General features: G+C 56.1%; 2 protein-coding genes across 31 annotated transcripts in view, besides 4 other annotated features; one reads left to right on the forward strand and one right to left on the reverse strand.

Moving 5' to 3' along the window:
- The window catches only part of GTPBP1 (GTP binding protein 1), a 37172-nt gene extending 28771 nt beyond the window's left edge, over positions 1-8401 (forward strand). For 2 of the 4 annotated variants that reach the window (XM_011530537.3, XM_047441614.1), the window contains exon 14: positions 3237-8401. In XM_011530537.3, coding sequence (XP_011528839.1) covers positions 3237-3285 — 49 coding nt within the window. In that variant the 3' untranslated portion in view covers positions 3286-8401. Of the gene's footprint in view, positions 1-459; positions 867-3236 lie in introns of those variants that run through there. The other 2 variants (XM_017029100.3, XM_017029101.3) reach the window with 1 other exon arrangement.
- Positions 20-21284, reverse strand: SUN2 (Sad1 and UNC84 domain containing 2). 27 transcript variants are annotated; one of them, NM_001394427.1, is made up of 19 exons: positions 21049-21284; positions 17793-17951; positions 16496-16659; positions 16184-16321; positions 15511-15606; positions 15052-15145; positions 13999-14069; positions 12358-12450; positions 10970-11097; positions 7587-7841; positions 6780-6857; positions 6293-6336; positions 5553-5718; positions 5008-5229; positions 4628-4712; positions 4159-4274; positions 3873-4040; positions 3459-3551; positions 20-1666 (listed from the first exon to the last, which is right to left on the reverse strand). In NM_001394427.1, exons 2-19 carry the CDS (start codon positions 17912-17914, stop codon positions 1553-1555), a joined length of 2247 nt encoding a protein of 748 aa, NP_001381356.1. In that variant the 5' UTR covers positions 17915-17951; positions 21049-21284; the 3' UTR covers positions 20-1552. The 27 variants fall into 27 exon arrangements, with proteins under 27 accessions (NP_001381356.1, NP_001381363.1, NP_001381364.1 ...); NM_001394434.1 differs by lacking the exon at positions 12358-12450 and adding an exon at positions 19928-19973; NM_001394435.1 differs by lacking the exon at positions 12358-12450 and adding an exon at positions 19928-19976.
- Positions 17430-17479: an enhancer, noted in NCBI's record as "active region_19018". NCBI's record gives its function as "activates an Ori minimal core promoter by ATAC-STARR-seq in GM12878 lymphoblastoid cells {active_cell/tissue: GM12878}" and the evidence as "EXISTENCE:reporter gene assay evidence [ECO:0000049][PMID:35858748]".
- Positions 20098-20167: an enhancer, noted in NCBI's record as "active region_19019". NCBI's record gives its function as "activates an Ori minimal core promoter by ATAC-STARR-seq in GM12878 lymphoblastoid cells {active_cell/tissue: GM12878}" and the evidence as "EXISTENCE:reporter gene assay evidence [ECO:0000049][PMID:35858748]".
- Positions 20658-21007: a silencer, noted in NCBI's record as "silent region_13730". NCBI's record gives its function as "represses an Ori minimal core promoter by ATAC-STARR-seq in GM12878 lymphoblastoid cells {active_cell/tissue: GM12878}" and the evidence as "EXISTENCE:reporter gene assay evidence [ECO:0000049][PMID:35858748]".
- Positions 21118-21667: a silencer, noted in NCBI's record as "silent region_13731". NCBI's record gives its function as "represses an Ori minimal core promoter by ATAC-STARR-seq in GM12878 lymphoblastoid cells {active_cell/tissue: GM12878}" and the evidence as "EXISTENCE:reporter gene assay evidence [ECO:0000049][PMID:35858748]".

Consider the following 22199-nt stretch of genomic DNA (forward strand, 5'->3'; position numbering starts at 1 on the left):
GAAAGCCACATCCCACAGCTCTTGGGCGTCATTTATTTTTTGCATAGGCATAAATTAGGATCTGGAGATAAAAAACTTAAGAACCAATAGTGCAGCATTTGTGACAGGAGAGCGCAAAACAAACCCTGGCTGCCTCGGGATGGAGCGGGGCGGCCTCACCACCACTGCATCCAGCCTCATGCTCCAGAGCGGATTTGAGGCTCAGTGCTGCAGTGAAGGCCTGCCCGCCTTCTTGCCCCTTCCCCGCAGCCAGACCACCAGACACAGCCGGAACCAGTGCCCCAGGCCCCTCTCCACGGCCAGGAACAAGAAACTGAGTATCACCCAGTGCCCCACAGAACGGGGCTAGGAATCAAGCCCTTAGCTTTTCAGTTAGAAAAACAGACCTTGAAAAATATATACATAATACAGTGGGGCCTGCTGGCTCTAAAAGTCCCCTCCTCCCCCTTCCCTATCCAGGGTAACTTCTGCCAGCCTCTTCCCCCAGCCCCCACCAACTGCCCCACAGAGAACAAACCAGAAGGGCGACTACCTGAACAAGAGCTGCAAGAGCCCAAGGGGGCAGCCTGAGCGGACGACCCCTACATCAGGGCCTGGTTAGATGTGGGGGCCGGTGCAGACAGACCTCGCACCCCGATACCCTGAACGTCCCCACAAGAGCCCAGGAGTTCCATGCTCCCCACTCTTCTTGCTATAACCCCAGATGCTAATGGCCCCAAAGACAGGTCTAGGTCTCCATACCCTGGGAGAATGTGGAAAGCAAGCTCAGGGGCACTGGCAGGCCCTAGCAGGAACAGGGAGCAGGGTGGGCCCCAACCTAGCATCAGGAGAGAGAAAAGCAACTACCGTCCCCAGCAGAGGGGAAGCCTACAGGGTTGGCCCTGGGCCCCTTAGAAGATCACAGCAGCCAGTCCCCTTTAGGGCACAAGAAGCCCCATGGCCCACTGCTACCCTCCCCGGGACAAATACACACTTTTGTCGAAGGCCCTCAGGGACCCTGTGGTTCATGCTTCCCTAGGTGGAGGGCACTAACCTTGTAGGAGAGCTGGGCAGCTCTCCATCAAGTGCTTCCTGCCTGGGGAAGTCCCATCCTGCTCTGGAGCTAAGCACCCTCCTCCCAGAGGGCCTCGCTTCCTTGCCCAGGGGCAGAGGCAGCTCACCTAGCCCAGGCCGTAGCTTGCCCCTCCCACAGCCCTGGCACCTGCTTCATCAGCTCCCAGGCACCAGCCCCTGACCCCAGCCAAGACCAGTCAGGTCCTACCTCTCCCAACTTCCCAGTCCCCCATGATATGCTACATATATACACACTCCCAGGATGGGAAGCAGACGCCACGGGCACAGAGGGAAGGAAGAAGGGAGCTGCTGGAGCCTGCTAACCGCCTCGAGCCACCTGCTGCTCAGGAGACCCTGCCCGTCCTTTTCATCTGCATGGGGCCACAGGCTCCTCTCTTGTGCTCCTAGAAGTCAGAGCGCCGAGCAAGCGTGTGGGGGAAGCGGCGGGGTGCTGTTCACCCACTCCCAGATGGCTGGCAGCAGGCACCAGTAAGCAGGGCTAGTGGGCGGGCTCCCCATGCACTCTGAAGCGGTAGATGCAGGTGTACTCGGGGTGGCCCCAGTTAGTCAGGATCCGCAGCTCCACCACCTGGTACGTGGCCATCGTAGGGGCCTGGGTAGAGAAGAAAGGGATTAAGAGCATCAGAGACCTGTGAGGCCTCACTGACAGAGAAGGTGGGAAGGGGAGACAGCCTCGCCTAGGGCCAGATGGCTCCCCTGCTCCTTCCCTGGGGCTCTGAAGAGAACCAGGCTTCAAAAGCTCCTATCTTTAGCCTCCTGAGCAGTGTTTCCAGCCAGTGGGTTAAGGGGCCACCTGTAGCACACTTCATCTGAAACCGGAATGAATTCATCCACAATCGTTTTTTTATTGTGATCAACAGATAGAACCACCTTCATAGAGGGCTTCATAGATGCTGATGTGGGGCACACTTGATTCTTTTTCTCCAGTGCCCATCGGGCCTCTGTCTAGCCACAGTGTTGGGAATGGTGTTAGCAGCATATCTTACCTGGGCAGATGCCACAGGCCTAGCACACTCCTGGCTTGTCCCTTCTCTCTGGCACATCGTTCTGTCCTCTACCCTCTTTTTTTGTTTTTGGAGACAGGGTCTTGCTCTGTCACCCAGGCTGGAGTACAATGGTGTGATCACAGTTCACTGCCTCAACCTTCTGGGCTCAAGGGATCCTCCCACCTTAGCCTCCCCAGTAGCTGGGACCACAGGTGCATGTCACCACACCCGGCTAAATTTTTTAACATTTTTTGTAGAGTCGGGATCTCGCTGTGTTCACCAGCCTGGTCTTGAACTCCTGGGCTCAAGCAATCCCCTCGCCTTGGCCTTGCAAAGTGCTGGAATTACAGACATGAGCCACCTCGTCTGGCCTCTATACTTTCCTAAAGAGAAATCCCAACCTCTCTTGCAGCCTAGTTACCTCCTCAGAGCTGATGACAACTCAGTTCTTTCTGGCTCCCCCGACAGCTCCACTGGACTGTTCCATAGGTGCCTCAGACTCAGCCAGACCTGCCCCCTGCTCCACATCAGCCCCCATCGCAGTGGCTTCTTCCTCCCACCCCATCCAACTGGACATTCACGACCCTCCCTGCTACGTCTTTGTCCTCACTCCCAACGCCCCTCTCCCCCACCTATCCTGTTCTGGCTGCTTTCCCTCAACCACTTCCTGACGGGTCTCCCAGGCCCAGGCTCGCCCCTTCGAGTCATATAGTGATGTTAGTCAAATGGACATAGCTTTGTCACCTGAAGCACAGCACTGCCTCCCCCAGGTCCCTGAGGGCTTATTTCCTGCCTCTCTGTGGCCTCCTCTTCCTGCCACTGTCCCTCGTCCACCTCCCACTATCCCGCCAACCCAATTCCTCACTCCAGGACTCCCCCGGTGTGGGGCTTAGGCCAATGGTTTGTTCAAATGCAGGCTCCTGGGTCCTGTCAGCCCTAAGGAACCAGACTCTCCTGGGGTGGAGACTGGGAATCTGCATTTCTAACTGACTTAGGAGATCGGATGCCCACTGAAGTTTAAGCCGCATGCACTGCCTGAGGCTCCAGCTGGCCATGGTAGAATGCCCGCGCCCTGGCATGTGCTGGCGGCGGCTCCTCGAACGCCTCTCCCGGCCTTCCTTTCCTGGCCACCCAACCCCTCTTGTGTAAAGCCCACCTCCTGGTGTCCTTTTCCAGGAAGCTTCCCTCATGCTGCCCTTCTGGAAGGTGCCTTCCCCTGTGCTGACGTCTGCAGGATGCGTGTTACACCCCATTTGGATATCACATCTTGAGCTGTGGGAAAGGAGAGCAGGGCTTCCCTCTCTGAACCCCATGCCTGGCAGGGTAAGTGCCCAGGGAGCACCTGCTGCCTGGATGGGGAGTCTGCGCCACTTCTGCTAGCACAGCAGCATCCCGTACCTGAAAGTGAAACGTCTGAATAGGCTCGCCGTCCTGATCGTAAGTGAACTTGCCAAGGAGTGTCCCCTCCTGCTGCAGGTCTTCGTCAAACCCCTGCAAAGAGAGCGGAGGGAAGTGGGGAGGGGCTGGAGCAGGGAGAACACCCCTCCCCACTCCAATCCCTGCTCCTCCCACCCAGCAGGTCAGGCACCAGAGTGGCCTATGACAAGTCACTTCACTCTCTTGTGCCACAGTTTCTGCCTCCAAAGCCTAAGGTAACAGGGACTGAAGTGCTGTCTCCCACCCTAGCTCCTCCTCTTCCAAATCCACTCCCCTCCCTTCCAGTCCAAGGGTGACCCTGACTTGATCCTCAGTAGAGAGGCCCACAGGATCCCCCTGCAGCCCCTCTGGCCCCACCACAGGACAGATACTCACAAAGATGGCGAAGTCCTTGGGGGCACTGGAGATAGTGCTGTTGGGTGACAAGGCCTTGGGCACATGCTCTAAGGTAACGGCTGTGGGGCGGATGCGGGCAGAGAGGCGGACCACGGCGAAGCCTTGTGGCCCCTGGAAGGCCCAGCAGTTGCCTGGGTGCACATCTGGCTGGAGGAGCAGAAAGTCATGTCAGGACAGGGCCCTGAGTCCAGCTCTTGCTGACCCCAGATGGGACCAGCCCTCAGTGTGCTCAGAGCCCCCGCTGCTGTGCTTGCCAGGTGCCCACCTGGAGGATGACTCGGGGTGACTGGGAGTGGTACCACAGGGGGATGCCGAAGAGGCTGAGGAGGGCCGTCTTGGTCTCGTAGGTCTCAGAACATCGGGTGCTGATGACGCTGGCCCCTGAGACAGGAGAGGAAGGCAGGGTGGGCTCCCGCACGGGAGGAGGGCCCCGCTCAGGCCATTGGCTGTCTCCTCGCTGAAGGTGGACGGCAGATGCCCCAGGCCTAGCCTTTAACCCTAACCGAGATGCTCAGAGCAGCTTTAAAGGTCAGCCTCTCCCTGGCCCAGGATGGTACTCGGTACGTCCTGACTTCCCTGAATTGCCACTTGCCTTTGTCATGGGTACTAGGTTGGGTGATTTCTGCTGATCCTGAGCTTTGCTTGCTCTGCCCCACCACCAACCTGGTAGATGCCAGGGGACCGGCCATTGCGGGGTCCAGGACAAGGCAGAGCGAGGAAAGCAGAGCACGTACCTCCTGACTCCAGGGCGTAGTCTGCCAGCCCGATGCGGTCCTCACTGTAGCGCTGCAGGGCCTGCTTCACGATGTGGTGCACCTGCTGCAATGCAGGCACCAGGAGACGGTTGCAGCAGGGAGCAGACGTGTCCCCCTGTCACCTCGTGGCCGTGGGCCAAGGACCCATGGGCTGACCCCTTCTAGGCTTGCACTGTGCTGGTGCCCAGGCAGATGTGGGCACACTGCCACCCACCCATGCCAGCCCCACAGCATGCAAAGCCTCCTGCTTGGCACTTCCATCCTGGAACCTGCCAGGGAGCTGGCAGTGTGGGACTGTCCAGGGCTCCCAGGGAGGAGAGCTGTGGGTGGGTGTGTGGAGAGGGGCATGTGGGCCTCACCTCCTCTGTCACTCCAATCACACCTTCTTTCTGCAGCGTCAGGCTCAGGGAGGCCGCGGCTTCCCTGGCCGACTTGCCCTGCATCTCTGCCACATGGGTGAGGATCTTGCTCTCCAGCTCTCGCAGCTGAGCTTGCATCTCCTCTCTCTGAAGGAGCCCCACGCGGCCCCCTCCACCTCGGGCAAGGAACTGACTGATCCAGGCCGGGAACTGAGATTCCACCTATAGGAACCCAAAGGGGTGTCACCCTGGGGGGCTTGCAGGGACAGCAGGAGCTGCTATGACAGGGCTAGTGCTTAGCTGGATAGCAGGGATAGGGTAGGAGGGAGGCCACTGGAGGAAAGAGTTATGAACACTCCATGGGCACTAACAAAAACAGGAAGAACGCCTGTCAGTGAGAGCCCACATGTGTCAAGGCCAACGCCACAGTCTCTTGGGCATAACAGAGGCTGCAGGGGCAAGGGGTGCTGCTTTGCAGGCCCCAGGACACGTCGTCTCAAAGGAGGAGGAGAGGGACCAGCAGGGCCCTGGTGGTTCCCACTCACGTCGTCCCGCACGGCCTGGATCTGCTGGGGCAGCAGGCCCACTTCTTCCGCCACCGAGCTCTGCTTCAGTGCCAGAGCCGCCAGCTCCTGCTGCAGGCCGGCCAGCTGGTCCTCCAGCCGCCTCAGCTCCTTCACAGAGCTCTCCTGGAAGGACTCCTGGGTCATGCTGGTCCCAGAGAGAGAAGAGTAAGCCTCGGATCTCTTTGGTGGGAGGTAAGGCCACACCAAAGATGAAAGAGGACCCCCTAGTGGGCTCCCGTCAGGAGAGCGGGTGCCCAGCACTCATTGTGAACCTGAGAAGGGGCAAGGCCTCTCCTGGGGGTTCTGGCTGCAGAACCCCTGCCTGTCCCAAGGAGCTAATTCTGAGCCTGCTCCCTTTCTAAGCCCAGAGTCCAGAATGTACTCTGCCTCAGCCTCTCACATCCTCCACAAGCATGGACATCTGGGGCATGAGAAGGCAGTTATGTGAGGCTGTAAGAAAGGATGCTGTGTCTATAAATGAATCCCGGTCCTCTCACACAGCCTGCCCCCCGCCCTCAGGACCCCCCTGCTAACCTCCATGGCACCTCAAAGACAGGCCCTGGGCAGGGGTCCTGAGCTGGGTTTCAACCCCTCCCCCTACCATCTGCTTGGCAAGATGATCAGAACTCTCTGCTCTGCGGCTCTGCTCCCCAGTCCTGCCTGGAGAGTGGGTGGGGCTGGGGAGGAGCAGGCCGAGGCCAGCTGGTGGCGCCCAGTACCTTTGCCACTCTGACTTCAGCTGCTGGATGCGAGCCTCGGACTCCTGTGTAGGAAGAAGGGACAAATACAAGAAATACTCATCTCAGAAATTGGTGTTCCAGAGTAGGATCTGCTGTCTGTTAGCGTCTTTGCTTAACCACACCCCTGCCCAAGGTCTCTTGACCCCTGCAGCAAAAATCAAACTGGCCTCCTTGTCAAAGCCCTCATGAGTCTCGTCCATGTCTGACACACTGAGGTATCTGTTCACCCACACTCAGCACATGCACACCAGCATGACAGGCCGCTGTGCCCTGGCACACCCCAGGGAGCCCCTGCACAGCTCTCCAACTAAGGGGTCGGGGGTCAAACAGAGAAGTCAGAGGAGGGCACTCCCCTCCCCATGCAACACCCAAACAGTCCCTTTGGAAGGGCCGAGGGGTCCGAGGTGAACATGTTGGATGGGGTCAGGACCCAGTCACAGGCCCTGAGTGCCGCAAGCCCGCTGACCTGGGAGGCCCGGACGATCTTCTTGAAGAGGTCTTCTGAGTCTTGCTGATGCTCTGCTCTCAGGGCAGACAGTTCTTCCTGTGAGACGGGAGTGAGAGGACAGGTTGGACAGAGCCATGCTTATAGGGACCCTCATGACTAGGAAGTGGCGGAACTGGAATTCAAACAAGGTCTGTTTGCTTCCAGAGCCCTGGCTCTCAGCCTTCTCTGAACCACGCAAGACTCCCGCTTCAGCTCCACTGCACACCTCTGCGGTGTCAGGTACCATGCTGGGGCTTTCTACTCGCACAGCTCACTATGGGGGTGGGGGAGACACGATGGCCTCCATCAAAGAGCAGGAAACTGAGGCTTAGAGAAGGTGAGGAGGCCTGGCGTGGTGGCTCACGCCTGTAATCCCAGGACTTTGGGAGGCCAAGGCAGGCAGATCACTAGAGGTCAGGAGTTCGAGACCAGCCTGGCCAACTTGGTAAAACCCTGTCTCTACTAAAAATACAAAATTAGCTGGATGTGGTGGTGCACGCCTGTAATCCAGCTACTCGGGAGGCTGAGTGAGGCAAGAGAATCGCTTGAACCTGGGAGGCACAGGTTGTAGTGAGTCGAGATCACGCCACTGCACTCCAGGCTGGGTGACAGAGTGAGATATTGTCTCAAAAAGAAAAAAAAAAAAGAAAAAAAGAGAAAGGGAGTAACTGCAAAATGGCAGAGCTGTCTGATCCCAAATGACACTTGTTCTCTCTGCTGCTGGGCACCTTCACGCTTTCCTATGGGTGTCACCCACCTCCCACCCTGAGGTATTCCACCTCCTACCTGGATGCGAGCAGCAGTTTCCCTGCGGAAATCCTCCTTCAGGGCAGCTTCACGGCGGCTCACTAGCCCCTCCAGCAGCGCCAGGGTGTCCTCGTGGCTCAGGCCACCACCACCTCCCTGGCCAGGAGCCCCTTGCCGCAGCTCCAGACGTTCCAGCCGCATGGCCTCCTTCTGCCAGTTGGAGGAAAATTCAGCAGCAAGAGCTTCCAGACGCCGCTCCAGAGAGTGTACCCGGGACATAACACGCTGCTCAGCCTGGAAGGGCAGAGAGAGAGCCACGGAGTGAGGGACCCTTGGATGATAGTGCTTCCCAAAGACCACCCCGACACAGCCAACACAGAAAGAAAGGGAAAAGATTCCAGAGACGTTCCAGCATAAGGCCATGCAGGGCCGGCTGGAGCTCGTGGGCAGGGGCTGCCGACCTCTGAGCTGGGTGTGCTGGGAGCCAGGGATCACTGGGTGCCGGCCACAGAGGAAGGTCCCTGAGGACACAGTACCGAAGTCTGATCCCAGAGGAGGAAGGAAGGTGGGCCGGGGAGAAGGTCTGAGTGCAGGGATGGTCCAGGAGGAGGACTGGAAGCTGCAGGATGGCTGCAGGGGGCCGTGGACCCTCCTGGCCTGAAGCTCACTCCTTCCCCGCCTCCTACAGGGGCAGGGGAGCCAGGGCTGCGAGTTCTGTCTGTGGACTCTCAATGGCTTTCACTCCTTCCCTAGGTAACTATGGCTAAGAGACAGAATAATTTGAAAATACGTTCTTTTTCCTCTTTAGCTGGATGTCCCACAGAGAAAATGGAATAAATGTCATTTGGACTGAGGGTGGCATTTGATAGTGTGTCATGAATTTGAGAATGTTGTTGGCTTAACAACAAAATCATTGCCAAGAGAAGTGATAAAAACTGTCAAATAAAGGCCAGGGAGCTACTGAGCAGCAGAGGTTCTGAGTTTTAGAAATTCTGGTTTTTAAATAGGCGCTACATTTGCATGACTCAAAAAGCACACAAACAGGCGGGACGTGGTGGCTCACGCCTGTAATCCCAACACTTTGGGAGGCCGACGCAGGTGGATTACCTGAGGTCAGAAGTTCGAGACCAGCCTGGCCAGTATGGCGAAACCCTGTGTCTACTAAATATACAAAAATTAGCTGGAGATGGTGGCAGGCTCCTGTAGTCCCAGCTACACAGGAGGCTGAGGCAGGAGAATCGCTTGAACCTGGGAGGCAGAGGTTGCAGTGAGCTAAGATCGTGCCATTGCACTTTAGTCTGGGCAACAAGAGCAAGACTCCGTCTCAAAAAAAAAAAAAAAAAAAAAGCCCACAAAAACCAGCAAAAAATCCTCTGCCCCATCACCCCAGTTGCCTCACCAACAGCCTCTCCCAGACCAGGAAGCTGTTTTTATTTTAACTTCATGCAAATGTTGCTAATACAAGATATATTCATTTTTTTAACTTACCCTTTTTTACAAAAAAGATGGTTCTGAAATTGAACTGTATTTAATGTCTTTAATGGTGAAAAAAGGAAAAGTCATAGATGACATGTCATTATTTTGTAAAATAATAAGATCATGGTCTGGTACTCACTTTGGCAGCACATATAATAAAATTGGAAAGACCATGGTCTGGAAAGTAATATATACAAAAATAGATGGTTAAACATGTGATGCCGGCTGGGCGTGGTGGCTCACGCCTGTAATCCCAGCACTTTGGGAGGCCAAGGCGGGCGGATCATGAGGTCAGGAGACAGAGACCATCCTGGCCAACATGGTGAAACCCTGTCTCTACTAAAAATAAAAAAATTAGCTGGCATGGTGGTGCGCGCCTGTAGTCCCAGCTACTCGGGACGCTGAGGCGGGAGAATCGCTTGAACCCGGGAGGTGTAGGCTGCAGTGAGCCCAGATCGTGCCACTGCACTCCAGCCTGGGTGACGCAGCATTCCAGCATGGGTGACTTAGCAAGACTCTGTCTCAAAAAAAAAAAAAAAAAAAAAAAAAGTGATACTATGCCAGGTGCAGTGACTCATGCCTGTAATCCCAGCCCTTTGGAAGGCTGAGGCAGGAGGATTGCTTGAAGCCAGGAGTTCAAGACCAGCCTGGCAACATAGTGAGACCCTGTCTCTACAAAAATTTTTTTTAAAAATTTGACAGACATGGTGGTGTACACCTGTAGTCCCAGCTACTTCACAGGCTGATGCAGGAGGATCGCTTGAGCCCAGGAGTTCAAGGTTACAATGAGTTATGATTATACTACTGCACTGCAGCCTGGACAACAGAATGAGACCCTGTCTCAAAAAATTTTTAAATGAATAATAAAAATGTAATACCAAGTTAAATTCAGTGAGATGCAAGTGCAGGTCAAATAACCATAATTAGAAAATGAAGAGTTTTATTAAAAATAAAGACAGGGCCTCACTGTGTTGCCTAGGCTAGTCTCGAACTCCTGGCCTTAAGTGATCCTCCCACCTTGGCCTCCCAAAGTGCCGAGATTACAGATGTGAGCCACCAGGCTTGGCTTAGAGGTTTAAATTGTCAGTATCAGTACCTGTGCTCACATTGCTTTCTGGTTATGCTGACTGCAGGCTCCTTGAGGGCACAGCCTGGGCCTGATTCATCTTTAGACTCTGGCAGATTATAAAAATGGCCACCATCCCTCACTCCTCCCTGCAGCCGCACCTCTGTCATGTGACCTTGTGGGCTCTCTTGCTGAGAGGTGAAGTCTATTTCCCTCTCCTTGAATCTGGATTTGGCTCTGAGATTTGCGGTAGCCAACAGAATGTGGCGGGAGTGACGGTGTGCTGGTTCTGGATCAAGGCCTCAAAGGTCTGGTTGCCTTGGTTCTCTCTTGAAACCCTGCCTGGGTGCGATGAGAAACAGCTGGGGCTAGCCTGCCGGGTGAGCAAAGTGCACATGGAGTACAGCTGTCCTAGGCAAGGGCCTTGACCAGCTGGCCCCCAGCTGACCCCCCCAGCCAACTGCAGACAGACAGATCCACACAGGCAAGTACGAGCCCAGCCAAGATTGCTTCTCTTTTCTCAGACCAGAAAGACCACCCAGACAACCCACAGACTCATGAACTAATCAACCATTGTAGTTTTGAGCCACTGCTTTTAGGGGTGGATTATCTTTGGTAAGAGGTAACTGACTGGGATATTATCCTAGTCATAGAAGGTGCCCAGTAAATATTTGTGAAACAGCATTGAAAAGGAACAAAGCAGACAAGATAATTTGTTGGATTCCTTTTCTTTCTGTTTTCTGTGCCTTGTAAGATGGCAACTAACAGTACGCCTCAGCTTTGTGTGTACGGTGTGAGGCAGGCTGAGGGCGCACCCACCACTTTCACCGTCACCTAATTATTGCTAAGCTCTTGGGAGCTACCACCCTCAGAGACTCACCTGGAAATGTGGCGATGAGTCTCTGGCTTCCCAGCCCTCATCCGGCCTCCTGCTGTCCTTCGCTGCCCACCAGGAAACCAAAGCAGGGTGGAATGTCTGCAGCCCATAGGGGTAGAAATACCAAGCACCTGTGCACAGGGGAGAGGGTGTTACCCCAGCTGGGCCTCCAGCAAGAGGCGCGCGCCAGGGAGGATGGCTACCTGATCCCTGCCAGTGCTTGTGGCCTGTCCCACTCGTGGAGCTGTGCCCTTCCAGAGGCATCAGAGGGATGCAGGTGCCCCCATTCTCTGAGGTGGCAACTTCCACCCAACAACCTCAGAGCATATTCATTCTCACACCCCCACGGGAATCCTTCATCTTTCTGTAAGTGGCAAAACTTGGAGAAAACATTTTGAATGAGTTAGGGATGATCCAGGGTACAGCCCAGAGGACCTGATGGTGGTTCTCAGCCCTGTCTGGTCGTCAGAATCACCTGGGGAGATTTTAGTACAACCAGGTCTGGCCCTGCCCTCTGGAGAGCAAGCTAATTGGCCTGGGGTGGGGCCCCTGCGTAGGTGAGTTTGTAAAGCTTCCTGGTGACTGTCATGGGCCGCCATGGCTGAGAGTCACTGCAACAGAAAGCACCACCCCCTCTAAGAGAGGCTGCTCGAGGCCCAGACACGAGCACCAAGCTGCAGCCACACAGAGACATGTTCATTCTGTTTTCAGGGCCATCTGTTTGATACCTGTTTACTCCTGAGCTCTGGGGCAGGTGGCAGGGGAGCGGGGGAGGGAGGGCTTTCTGTCCTGATAAAGCTCCATTCGCTACTCAAGCACCAGAGGTTGGCAGGTGCAAAAGGAAGCTCATGCCCATGGGGCTTGAAGTCCAGCATGGACATGGCCTTCATGCACACACTCCCCGAGCAGGTCACTGAGCCCCCTCCACGTGCATCTCCATGTGATGGGTTCACAGCACTGACTACAGCAACCCCACAAGGCCATGGTGAAGCTCAAATTGAACTGAGATAATGCACGGGAAAGTGCTCTCTGGGTACATTGCTATGCAATTATAAAGAATCACTGACTGGGCCGGGCGCGGTGGCTCACGCCTGTAATCCCAGCACTTTGGGAGGCCGAGGCGGGTGGATCACGAGGTCAGGAGATCGAGACCATCCTGGCTAATATGGTGACACCCCATCTCTACTAAAAATACAAAAAGAAATTAGCCAGGCGTGGTGGCGGCCGCCTGTAGTCCCAGCTACTCGGGAGGCTGAGGCAGGAGAATGGCGTGAACCTGGGAGGTGGAGCTTGCAGTGAGTCAAGATCGCACGACTGCACTCCAGCCTGGGCGACAGACTCCATCACACACACACAAAAAAGAATCACTGACTGGGCGTGGTGGCTCACACCTGTAATGCCAGCACTTCGGGAGGCCGAGGCAGGTGGATCACTTGAGGTCAGGAGTTTGAGACCAGACTGGCCAACATGGCGAAACCCCGTCTCTACTAAAAATATAAAAATTAGCTGGGCGTGGTGGCATGCACCTGTAATCCCAGCTACTCGGGAGGCTGAGGCAGGAGAATCGCTTGAACCCGGGAGGTGGAGGTTGCAGTGAGCCAAGATTGTGCCACAGCACTCGAGCCTGGGCAACAGAGCAAAACTCCGTCTCAAAAAAAAAAAAAAAAAGAAGAAGAATCATTATTATTTTAAGGGTGGTGCTCAGTTGCCACTGGATATGAACCAGCTGTTCTTGTAGCAGCAAACACAAAAACGAAGCTAACTTTTGGAAAAGTGTTCTACCCTGTTATTAATAAAAGAAATACAAGTTGAATGATATTAAGCTTATAAAACAAACTCTCAAAAAATAATAAAGCATGGTCTTTAATTACTTGGTGCAGTCATTAAAATTGAGCTGAGAGTCACATAGGCAATTCATATGAAACTAGCCAAGCTGTCAAGTAAAAAGCTGAACACAAAATGTCTATATAAACAAGGAAGGGCTGGGTGCAGTGGCTCACACCTGTAATCCCGACACTTTGGGAGGCCGAGGTGGGTGGATCACTTGAGGTCAGGAGTTTGAGACCAGCCTGGCCAACATGGTGAAACCCCGTCTCTACTAAAAATACAAAAATTAGCCATGTGTGGTGCTGCATGCCTGTAATCCCAGCTACTTGGGAGGCTGACGTGGGAGGATCACCTGAGCTCAGAAGGTCAAGGCTGCAGTGAGCTGTGTTCGTGCCACTGCACTTCAGCTGGGGTGACAGAAGAAGACTTTGTCTCAAAACAAACAAAAAACCAAGGCAGGCCTGTGCTAGCGCCTGGGATGATTCAGGACAGCTGGTAAGTGACTGGTGTAAAAAGAGGCACTTATGGCCGGGCACGGTGGCTCATGCCTGTAATCCCAGCACTTTGGGAGGCCGAGGCAGCTGGATCACCTGAGGTCAGGAGTTCGAGACCAGCCTGACAACATGGAGAAACCCCATCTCTAGTAAAAATACAAAATTAGCTGGGCATGTTGGCGCATGCCTGTAATCCCAGCTACTCGGGAGGCTGAGGCAGGAGAATCACTTGAACCTGAGAGGTGGAGGTTGTGGTGAGCTGACATCGCGCCATTGCACTCCAGCCTGGGCAACAAGAGCAAAAACTCTGTCTCAAAAAACAAACAAAAAAGGCACTTATTTCCCTTTGCTGCTTCATTGTTTTTACTTTAAAGACAGCTCAAGATTTAACTTCATCTTGTAAAAATAACTCCCTCATAGCAGATGTCCCTGTTGGAGTGGAAGGAGGATGACTGCTAATGATAATGGGAGGGCATCCCGCTTTTCACCCAATGTTGCGGCACTAGGGTGTGCTCCTGCCCAGGGCGGCACAAAAGAGGCTCAGGAGAGGTGGGGAGGGCCATGCAGAGATGATCCAGGGTCCAGGGCTCAGGCCCTGCCCAGTCACAGGCACACCCCACCCAGTCTTGCCCCTTCCCTGCCTGCCAAAGGTCACCACCCTCTGGTGAACACATCTCTGTGCCTCCCTCTGCTCTCCCCATGCAGGCTCACCATACGTCAGGCACGTCAGCAAGAGCAGCGGCAGCAGGAACCAGAGGAACGTCTTCAGGGACGAGAAGCGCCTGGACCACGCGGGAGGGCAGGACGGGGGAGGCGGAGGTGTGAGGGGAGCTCCAGGCCTCCACGTTCCACCCAGGGAGTACCCTGAGATGTTTTCCTGGGTGCTGAACTAGAGCTAAGGAGGATAGCTTGAGCTTCTCACTGTGCCAGGGCCAGCCTGGACACGTCAGAGCCTTTCCTGCTGGGCAGGTCTTAGAGTGATGGGACAATTTTGACTGAATTTTACTGATGTTATTAAAAATAGTGTGGTCTTTGAAAAACTCAAAAATTTTTATATGGACAGGTCCTCTAAGTATGCAAATATAGAAAAAAAAAGTAACTCCTTAAATAACAACAAGGAACCTGTTTTTGGTGACACAAACCCATCCTTGCCCCTTGTTTCAGTATGGCCAGCTGTCCCCTCTGCCCGGACCTGGATTACGGCCAGAGGGATCCTGACTTCTGGGTTCCGTGTTCTTCTGCCTAAGGGGCACATTCTCAAATCCTGGTTCTGCTGGTTTAGGGACTTGGGGAATGAACCCATAGCATCCTCAGGCAGAGCCTCTTTGTGGCTCTGACCATGAGTGGGGAACTCGGGGGGTTAGATTGTCCCAGGCCCAAGAAGGAAGATGGACTTTCTGGGAAACCCCACTTCTTGCCTGGAGTCAGTGGGCCTACCCTGCAGGAGGAAAGCCATCGTGTGTCTGAGAGCCAGGCACGGCTAGACTAGTGTGGCGTTTAGTAGAATGTGTCCAAGAAGAAATAATCTGTGCTCTGGAATCCTGCCTCGAAGGGCTATCAATTCGGGGAGAAGAACCTGACTCTGAGTCCATCCTCTGTCAGGCAGGGGTGGGCTTTGGGGAAGCTACTCCGTGATCGCTAATAAAGGCTCCAGGGAAACTGGGGAAAACCCTCAGAGAATCGACCATTACAGGTTGACACACTTTACCCGTCCCTTCACCCCAGGGCCTTGCGATTTATTGGCAAGGGTGGAGTCTCGCTCACCTGGTTAAAACGAAGACGTCAAGGAGGGAGGCAGCTGTGGTCAGGCGGTACCAGGTGGTGCCAGCCCACCAGTAGAGAAGTCTGAAGAGCCGGCCTGGAAGAATGACCATCAAGCCGAAGGCTCCATATGGTGTTTGGGGGCACCGCTCCTTTGTCCCGTCTGCCGTCCTCCCTGCCCCTACCCCACCCCCACCTGCCAGTATGCCTCTGTCCTGCCCTACCGGGACCCAGGTCCTTGGATCCCACCTGCCCACACCCTCTGTCCTGCTCTGCAGCTACTCCTTCCCTTCCACGCAAGGGGGTCCCCACAGCTCTGGGCTCCCAGTGATTATTCTAGAATGACCTTTCCCCAATGGTCCTACAGTCTCTCTGCATGGGCAGGATGCCCAACTGCAGAGAGATGGGTAAGAAAGCACTATCACCAAGAATGGAAGTAACTGGGCACGGGTTGCAGCCCACCTGGCGAAGTGGCCACCATCCAGAGTAAGGAGCCCGCCCGTGAGACGGCGCTTCGGAGCCGCGAGCTGGAACTCTGCTGGTCCACATCCGAGTAGCCTGCGGGGAACGAGGACACTGGCTCAGTCTCTGTCACTTTCGAGCCTCTTCCTTCACTGTCTTCTGTGAGCCAAGACCACAAGTCACCCACCCTCCTTCACATCCCCACAGCCCCACACAGGCCCGGTGTGCAGTAAGGAATGAAATGGGAGCTCTTTGACATTCTGTTTCTTCTGACAGCTTCCTGTTTGCATCCCTCTCCTCACCAGCCACCCCTCAAGCTGCTGTTCAGAACTAGGTGCTGGGGTCTGACATGCACACCACTCAGAATGACTGAGCACCCACCATGTGTGAGCCCCACAGGAAAGTGCTGGAATGGGCCTGAATGCAAGGATGTTGGCCTTAGGTTGCCATAGACTCGTGGGGTGGGGAGGACAGACAAGTGAAGGGCAGTCACAGCCCAGGGCACCAGGGGCCACCGCAGGCCAGGCTGGGGCGCACCCAGGGCCGGGCATGGGAGGGGCGCTGTGCCTGCCACATGCTGCCCTCTCTCCAGCTCCCCGGGGCTCCCTGCCCAGCCTTCCTGAGGCCTCCCAGCAGCCTCGGATCTGCTCAGGAGGGAGGAAGCATCGCCTACCCACGTAGTCGTCCTCAGAGGAGTAGCCCGAGGAAGAGCCCAGGAAGTCCTCGGTGGCCTTGCGCCCCACAAGCCCGCTGGCCCTGCTGCTCTCTGAGCCACCCGTGCCTCTCCTCCTCCGCACCCGCAGGTCCTCACCTGTGCAGGGAAGAACCAGGGGCTCTTCTGGGCCTCCAAGAGCTTCTGAAAAGTGGGGTCTGGGCAGAGAGGTGCTCTGAGGAGGGAATCCCGGGGACTGCAGGGGACACTGTGAGGAGTATCTCGCGGGAGGCCGAGGAAGCAAAGCCCCGGGACGGAGGGCTCCACACTCACCCCAGTTGGCGTCACCATGCAGTTCCTCCAGGGAGCTCCTGGGTGGGAACCAGGACTCGTGGACCAGCGACTCACTGTAGTAGGAGGTGTGTGCATCAGAGGACGGGCCCAGCTGTGGCGCTGGGGACAGGCGCTTCATGTTGCTGGATTTCCTCTTCAAGGTCCTGTGGGACAACCATGAGGGCAGAGGTAGGGAGCAGGGAGGTGAGCCCAGCCAGGAGCATGAAGGAAAGCCACAGCCTGCGGCCCTGCCTAGTGCAGGGTGTGGGTTCCCTTGTTGCTAGGCAACTCGCAGCTGCCATTCCCCTGACTCTCCCAATGCTGGCACGTCCTCTCCTGTTCTCTCTGAATCTCACCAGCAGATGGGCAAGACGGGCAGCGGCAGCTAGGGATGGAGCCACATTCAAACTTTACAACCCACTGAAACCAGACAGACCTGACCTGGCCTCAGAGCTAGCCAAAGCCTCAGGGCCTGTCTTCTGGGCCCCATGCCTGTGAGCCGGGCAGGACGACCAGGCAGCTGCTGCCACAGCCCATTTCCCAGTGGCCTGAGGACTGCGCCTGTTCTCAGCCATGTCGCTGGCCAGCTGCTGAGGCCGGACAGGTGGTGAGACATGCAGGCGTGGGGCCAGGAAGGATGGTAAGGCTGACACGCCCGTCCAGAGCAGGGGGGGTTCCTGTGAGCCCAGCCTGCAGTTTTGGGGTTTCCGGCCTGGCTTATGGTTGAAGCTGCCTCTCTCCACTTCCTGTTTTCTTTCTTTCCTTTTTTTCTTTTTGAGATTGAGATGGAGTTTCACTCTTGTCAACCCAGGCTGGAGTGCAATGCCATGATCTCGCTCACTGCAACCTCTGCCTGCCAGGTTCAAGCGATTCTCCTGCCTCAGCCTCCTGAGTAGCTGGGATTACAGCTGCCTGCCACCATGCCGGGCTAATTTTTGTATTTTTAGTAGAGACGGAGTTTCACTATGTTGGTCAGGGTCAGGTGATCCACCTCCCTTGGCCTCCCAAAGAGCTGGCATTACAGGCGTGAGCCACCGCGCCCGACCTACCACTTCCTGTTTTCTAAGCATGAGGGCAGCAGCCCCGGCTCACAGTCGGTGGGAGAAGAATGGGTGCTGTGTGCTCATACACATGGAGCAAGGAAGGACCCCCTCGACCGGACGGGGGCCCACGTCCTTCGATTTCCACCCAAGGTTGCAACAAGAAGGCAGGGGGATGGCTGGACCACAGGGCGTGCGGGCAGTGACCAAAAGCTTGTGGGGCTGTCAGGGGCCGTGGCACTCCCTTGGGTCCCTACCTGAGAGGACTGTCTTTAAACAGGGTGCTCTGACTCCCAGCCACCGAGCTCCCTCCGCTGCTGCTGCTGCCGTCATCGTCACCCTGGGAGTAGCGCGTGAGGCGCTGGCTTCTTCGGGACATGATGAGGTGGGATGTGGACTCTTCCCCTGAAGAGAATCTAAGGAGAGAGAGGAGGAGGACTGGATGTGAGGCCTGGGGCTGTCCCCAGCTCCTCTCTAGAGGAGGTGGGACAGAGGCATCGCCTCACAGCCGAGAACAGACCACCCCCCCGGCCCCCGGCCCCCGGCGTTCAGTCTAAACAGCCCTGATGGGGGGCAAGGCAGGGATCTGTGAAGCACCCCTGCACTGTGCAGCGGCTGGAGTCACGCCCGGCCTGGGGCTCACTTCGTGACTCTGGAGCCTCTTCCAGGGCGCTTTCCACAGGCTTCCCAATTCTCAGTTTCCTTGTCTTTATCCTTCATGGTGCTGAGCTCCGCACAAGCCAGAATTGGGTCTTCCTCGACCTCTGACAAGTAGCAGAGACTCTGGTGCTTCTGGTCACTGCCTGCACGCCCGGTGGTCCAGCCACCCCACCTGCCTTCTCCCTAGAGACTTCTCCCAGTCTCGCTCTAGCTGTGTCCCTTTGCTGACATGTGCTCGTTCATCGAGGGCCCCAACGAACCTTGATGGAAAACCTTTCCCATGTAGACCCCACCTATGTTCTTTTTTTTTTTTTTTTTTTTTTTGAGATGGAGTCTCGCGCTGCCTCCCAGGCTGAAGTGCAGTGGTGCAATCTTGGCTCACTGCAACCTCTACCTCCCAGGTTCATGCGATTCTCCTGCCTCAGCCTCCCAAGTAGCTGGGATTACAGGTGTGCGCCACCGGGACTGGCTAATTTTTGTATTTTTAATAGAGACGGGGTTTCGCCATGTTGGCCAGGCTGGTCTCGAACTCCTGACCTCAGGTGATCTGTCCACCTCGGCTTCCCAAAGTGCTGGGATTACAGGCATGAGCCACCACGCTCAGCCAAAAGGATTTTTCTTTTCTTTTCTTTTAATAATAGAGACAGGGTTTCACCAAGTTGGCCAGGCTCCCACCTACGTCCTGATGGCGCTTGCACTGTCTGTCCCCACGGTGCACACTGTGCTGCCACATCTTGGTAAGATGATGATAAAATGGTAAGTGTCTGCTGGGACCGGGCTCCTTGTATACCTCATTTATATTATTAGAAGCAAGGTAGGTATCATTACTCCCATCTACAAGGGAAGAACCTGGACACTGAGGCAATGGGTAACTTGTCCACAGTCCCCAGCCTGTAAGTGCCAAAGCCAGGGTTTGGGCTCAGCTCTGACAGGCTGTAGGGCCTGGGTCTTTCTACTCAGGCATAAAGTTTTCCAGTTGTTTCAGGAATGTATTGAAGATTCTAGTTGTGTGTCCTCAGCTAGAATCTTTTTTAGCCTCACACATGCGCAAAACAAGGCTGTATACAAACTTGTTACACAACAAATATTTGTTAGCAAACTAACAAAATAGGGAGGAGGAGGGCAGCATGAATTACAGTCAGTTCCGGTCACCATGTGGGGCAGAAATCAAGGCTCTGGAACTGATAATGAGGACAAAGGAAGCCAAAGTGCAAAGATCTGGCAAGAGGTAGCATTCTGTGACATGAGGAAGATTAATGAACCACTCAGGTCTAGACACCCGAATTCAAAGTCCCCGACTGCCAACATGGGGAGTCTCAACGTTAGTGCCTCTGCTGGCCCGTACAACAAAGTCACTTGGGAATTCCTAGCACTTGCTTGTGACTTTTGATCACTTCTAATATTCCTGGTTGATACTTAAATGACCAGTTCTCTGGGTTGTGTGGTGAGTATAGAAGTCCACTTCCCAACCCAGGCTGCAGAAACCCGAAGGTCTGGTTAGTCCAGCTAGAAAGTCCTCCTCTGAAAAACAAGCAGCCTCATGTCCTGGCCTTGTTGGCATCTTCCCAGGTCAGACGCCCATCTGGCATCCCCTCTACTTTTAGCTGGTGTTGGAAAAGGGACCGATTGGTAGTAGGAAAAGCAGGAAGTTGGCCTGGGTCCTTGTCTCTATTCCTGTCCTTATAAGGTAATCTCCCCTCCCCCCTCCCTGCCCCGCCCGTACGGTCCCTACCTGAAGGCTCCAGCTGCCCACACAGGGACTCCTCTTAGCCTCTGTCCTGCTGAAGGAGGTGACACCTTTGCCCAGGGCAGAAACAAGGCAACATGTTTATACCATACCCAAGCTGCCGCTGGGAAGAACTAAATATTCTGATGGAGGTTGAGCGGGGAGTGCTGAAAACTGTCAGCACCCGCCTCCGCCCTCCCAGAACTCCCAGAGATGCCTCTCAGTCTTTCCTGCGGCATCCTGGCATCACAAAACAGTTTACCATTGAGTCTGGGTTTCACAAGATGAAAAAGGTCGAGGCCCCATTCTCCAAAACAAGAAGTGAGCCTCTGGGAGCTGAAATCTACTACTGCGAATCATAATAGACACCACCCCCGCCCCACCTCCTCCCTAACAATCAGTTAGGAAACGCTCATCGGAAAGCATCCTTCCCCACTTCTCAGCTGGGCGACTTCCTTTCTCAATTCCGCCCTTCCCCATCACAAACATCTCCATCCATCTTCAGACTTAAACCAGATCTGGGGCATCTTCCTCGTGACATTTCCACTCCCTGGGCACAGCCAGGCCACACGCCCTTGTGGGACCTGCCAAACGCCCGGTGCTAACTCCCTCTGCCCTCATTCCCACAGGCCAAACCTGCAGAAATTGTCACCAAAGGCGCGCCTCCTGGCTCTCTAAGTCACACCGCGCCCCCCATTGCTTTGTTTTGTTTTGTTTTAGAACTGAACAAAACGGGCCTTCCTCTGAGGCCCTGAGTTCTGACAGGCAGAGGCTGGGAACTGCCTGTCCCTGGAAACGGCCTGTCTGGCACAAAACCCGTAGGCGCTGCCCGGGGCCGGGTTGGGGCAGTCGGCCTTTGCCCTCCTCCTCCCGGGAGGCTGCCCGGGAAGTCCCGCCCGCAGACACCGCCCTCCCGGCTGACCAGTGGCGCGGCAGGCGGGGCGGGGGCCAGGAGGTGAGTCAGGGCGCGGGCCGCGGACCCGGGTGGAGGCTGGATCCGGCCCAGCACGTCCCGGAGAGGAGGAAGCAGGCCTGGCGGCGCGGCCCCGCCCGAGTGGCCCGACGGTGACCCGGGGTCAGGCCGGGCCGCGGCCCCCCAACCCTCTCCTGAGCTCGCCCGCACTCACCTGCTGCCGCGGCGGCTTCTAGCCCGGCCGGGGGCGTCCGAGGCCAGGCCGCCGCCGGGGCGCGCCCCCTTTCCGCGTGGGGATCCCGCGGGCGGCGCTCCGCTCAGGGCGACACAGCGGCCGGGCCCGGGGCGCGCGGGCACGCGAAGAGCGGCGACGCGGGACAAGGCGGGCGGGCGGACAATGCGGCCGGCGGAGGCCCGCGCTGCGCGAGTGGGGCCGGGCGGCGCGCGTGTGGCCGACTCTGTATGTGTGCGCCTGTCAGTCAACGCTGACAGGCCGCAGCCCATTGGTCAGGCCCCGCCGGCCGTCACCGCCCACCGCCGCCACCCATTGGCCGGTTTGAACACAAAGCCCCGGCTCGCCCCGCCCTCGCGTGGGCCCCGCTGCCCTGCGCGCTCAGCCTAGGAGTCCGCGCGTGGGAGGCGCTGGGCGGGCGGGGACCCCGGGCTGCGGGAGGACGCGACGGGAGCCTGTGCTGGGGCTCGGGCTCAGCAGGGCACTGGACTCCCGATCTGGCGGCTCAGAACACCTGAGACAGCTCTGAGCGCTCCCACGCGCGCCTGCAGCCTGGTTCACCAGGCCGGCGTCCGAGGGGAGGGTGGGAGCCCTGGGAGCGGCAGCGCGCGGGTGGCCCTTGGTGCACTCTCGGTGAGGCTGTCGAGGGCTTGCTCAACACCCGGCACCAGTGCCGTTGTCCTCTTAGCCGGCCATTTCTACACCCATTTTTCAGACAAGGAAACAGGTTGCTAATTTGGGGATTCCAGACATGCTGGGAGGCCCTGCCTCTTCCCAAGCTTTACCCAGAGCACCCAAGTTTCACGACAGCTCTTCTATTTTTTGTTTGTTTTAAACAGATTTTCTATTTTATTTAAATAGAGACGAGATCTCACTATGTTTGCCTAGGCTGGTCACGAACTCCTGAGCTCCAGTGATTCTCCCGCCTCGGCTTCCCAAAGTACTAGGATTACAGGTATGAGCCACCGCGCCCGGCCAGCTCTTCTGTTTTAAGGACGGTGCTTGCTGCACTTGAGCTGTGGGAAGGCAGGGCTGGCCACTCATTCTTCTACCTTACTCAGACTTGGAACGAGTGCTCAGCGTTTGAGTAAAATGCTGCCTGACTCCGGGGGTCCTGTTCCTTGGCTCCCCAT

This window comes from Homo sapiens, chromosome 22 (assembly GCF_000001405.40).
Source record: "Homo sapiens chromosome 22, GRCh38.p14 Primary Assembly".
Classification (NCBI taxonomy): domain Eukaryota; kingdom Metazoa; phylum Chordata; class Mammalia; order Primates; family Hominidae; genus Homo; species Homo sapiens.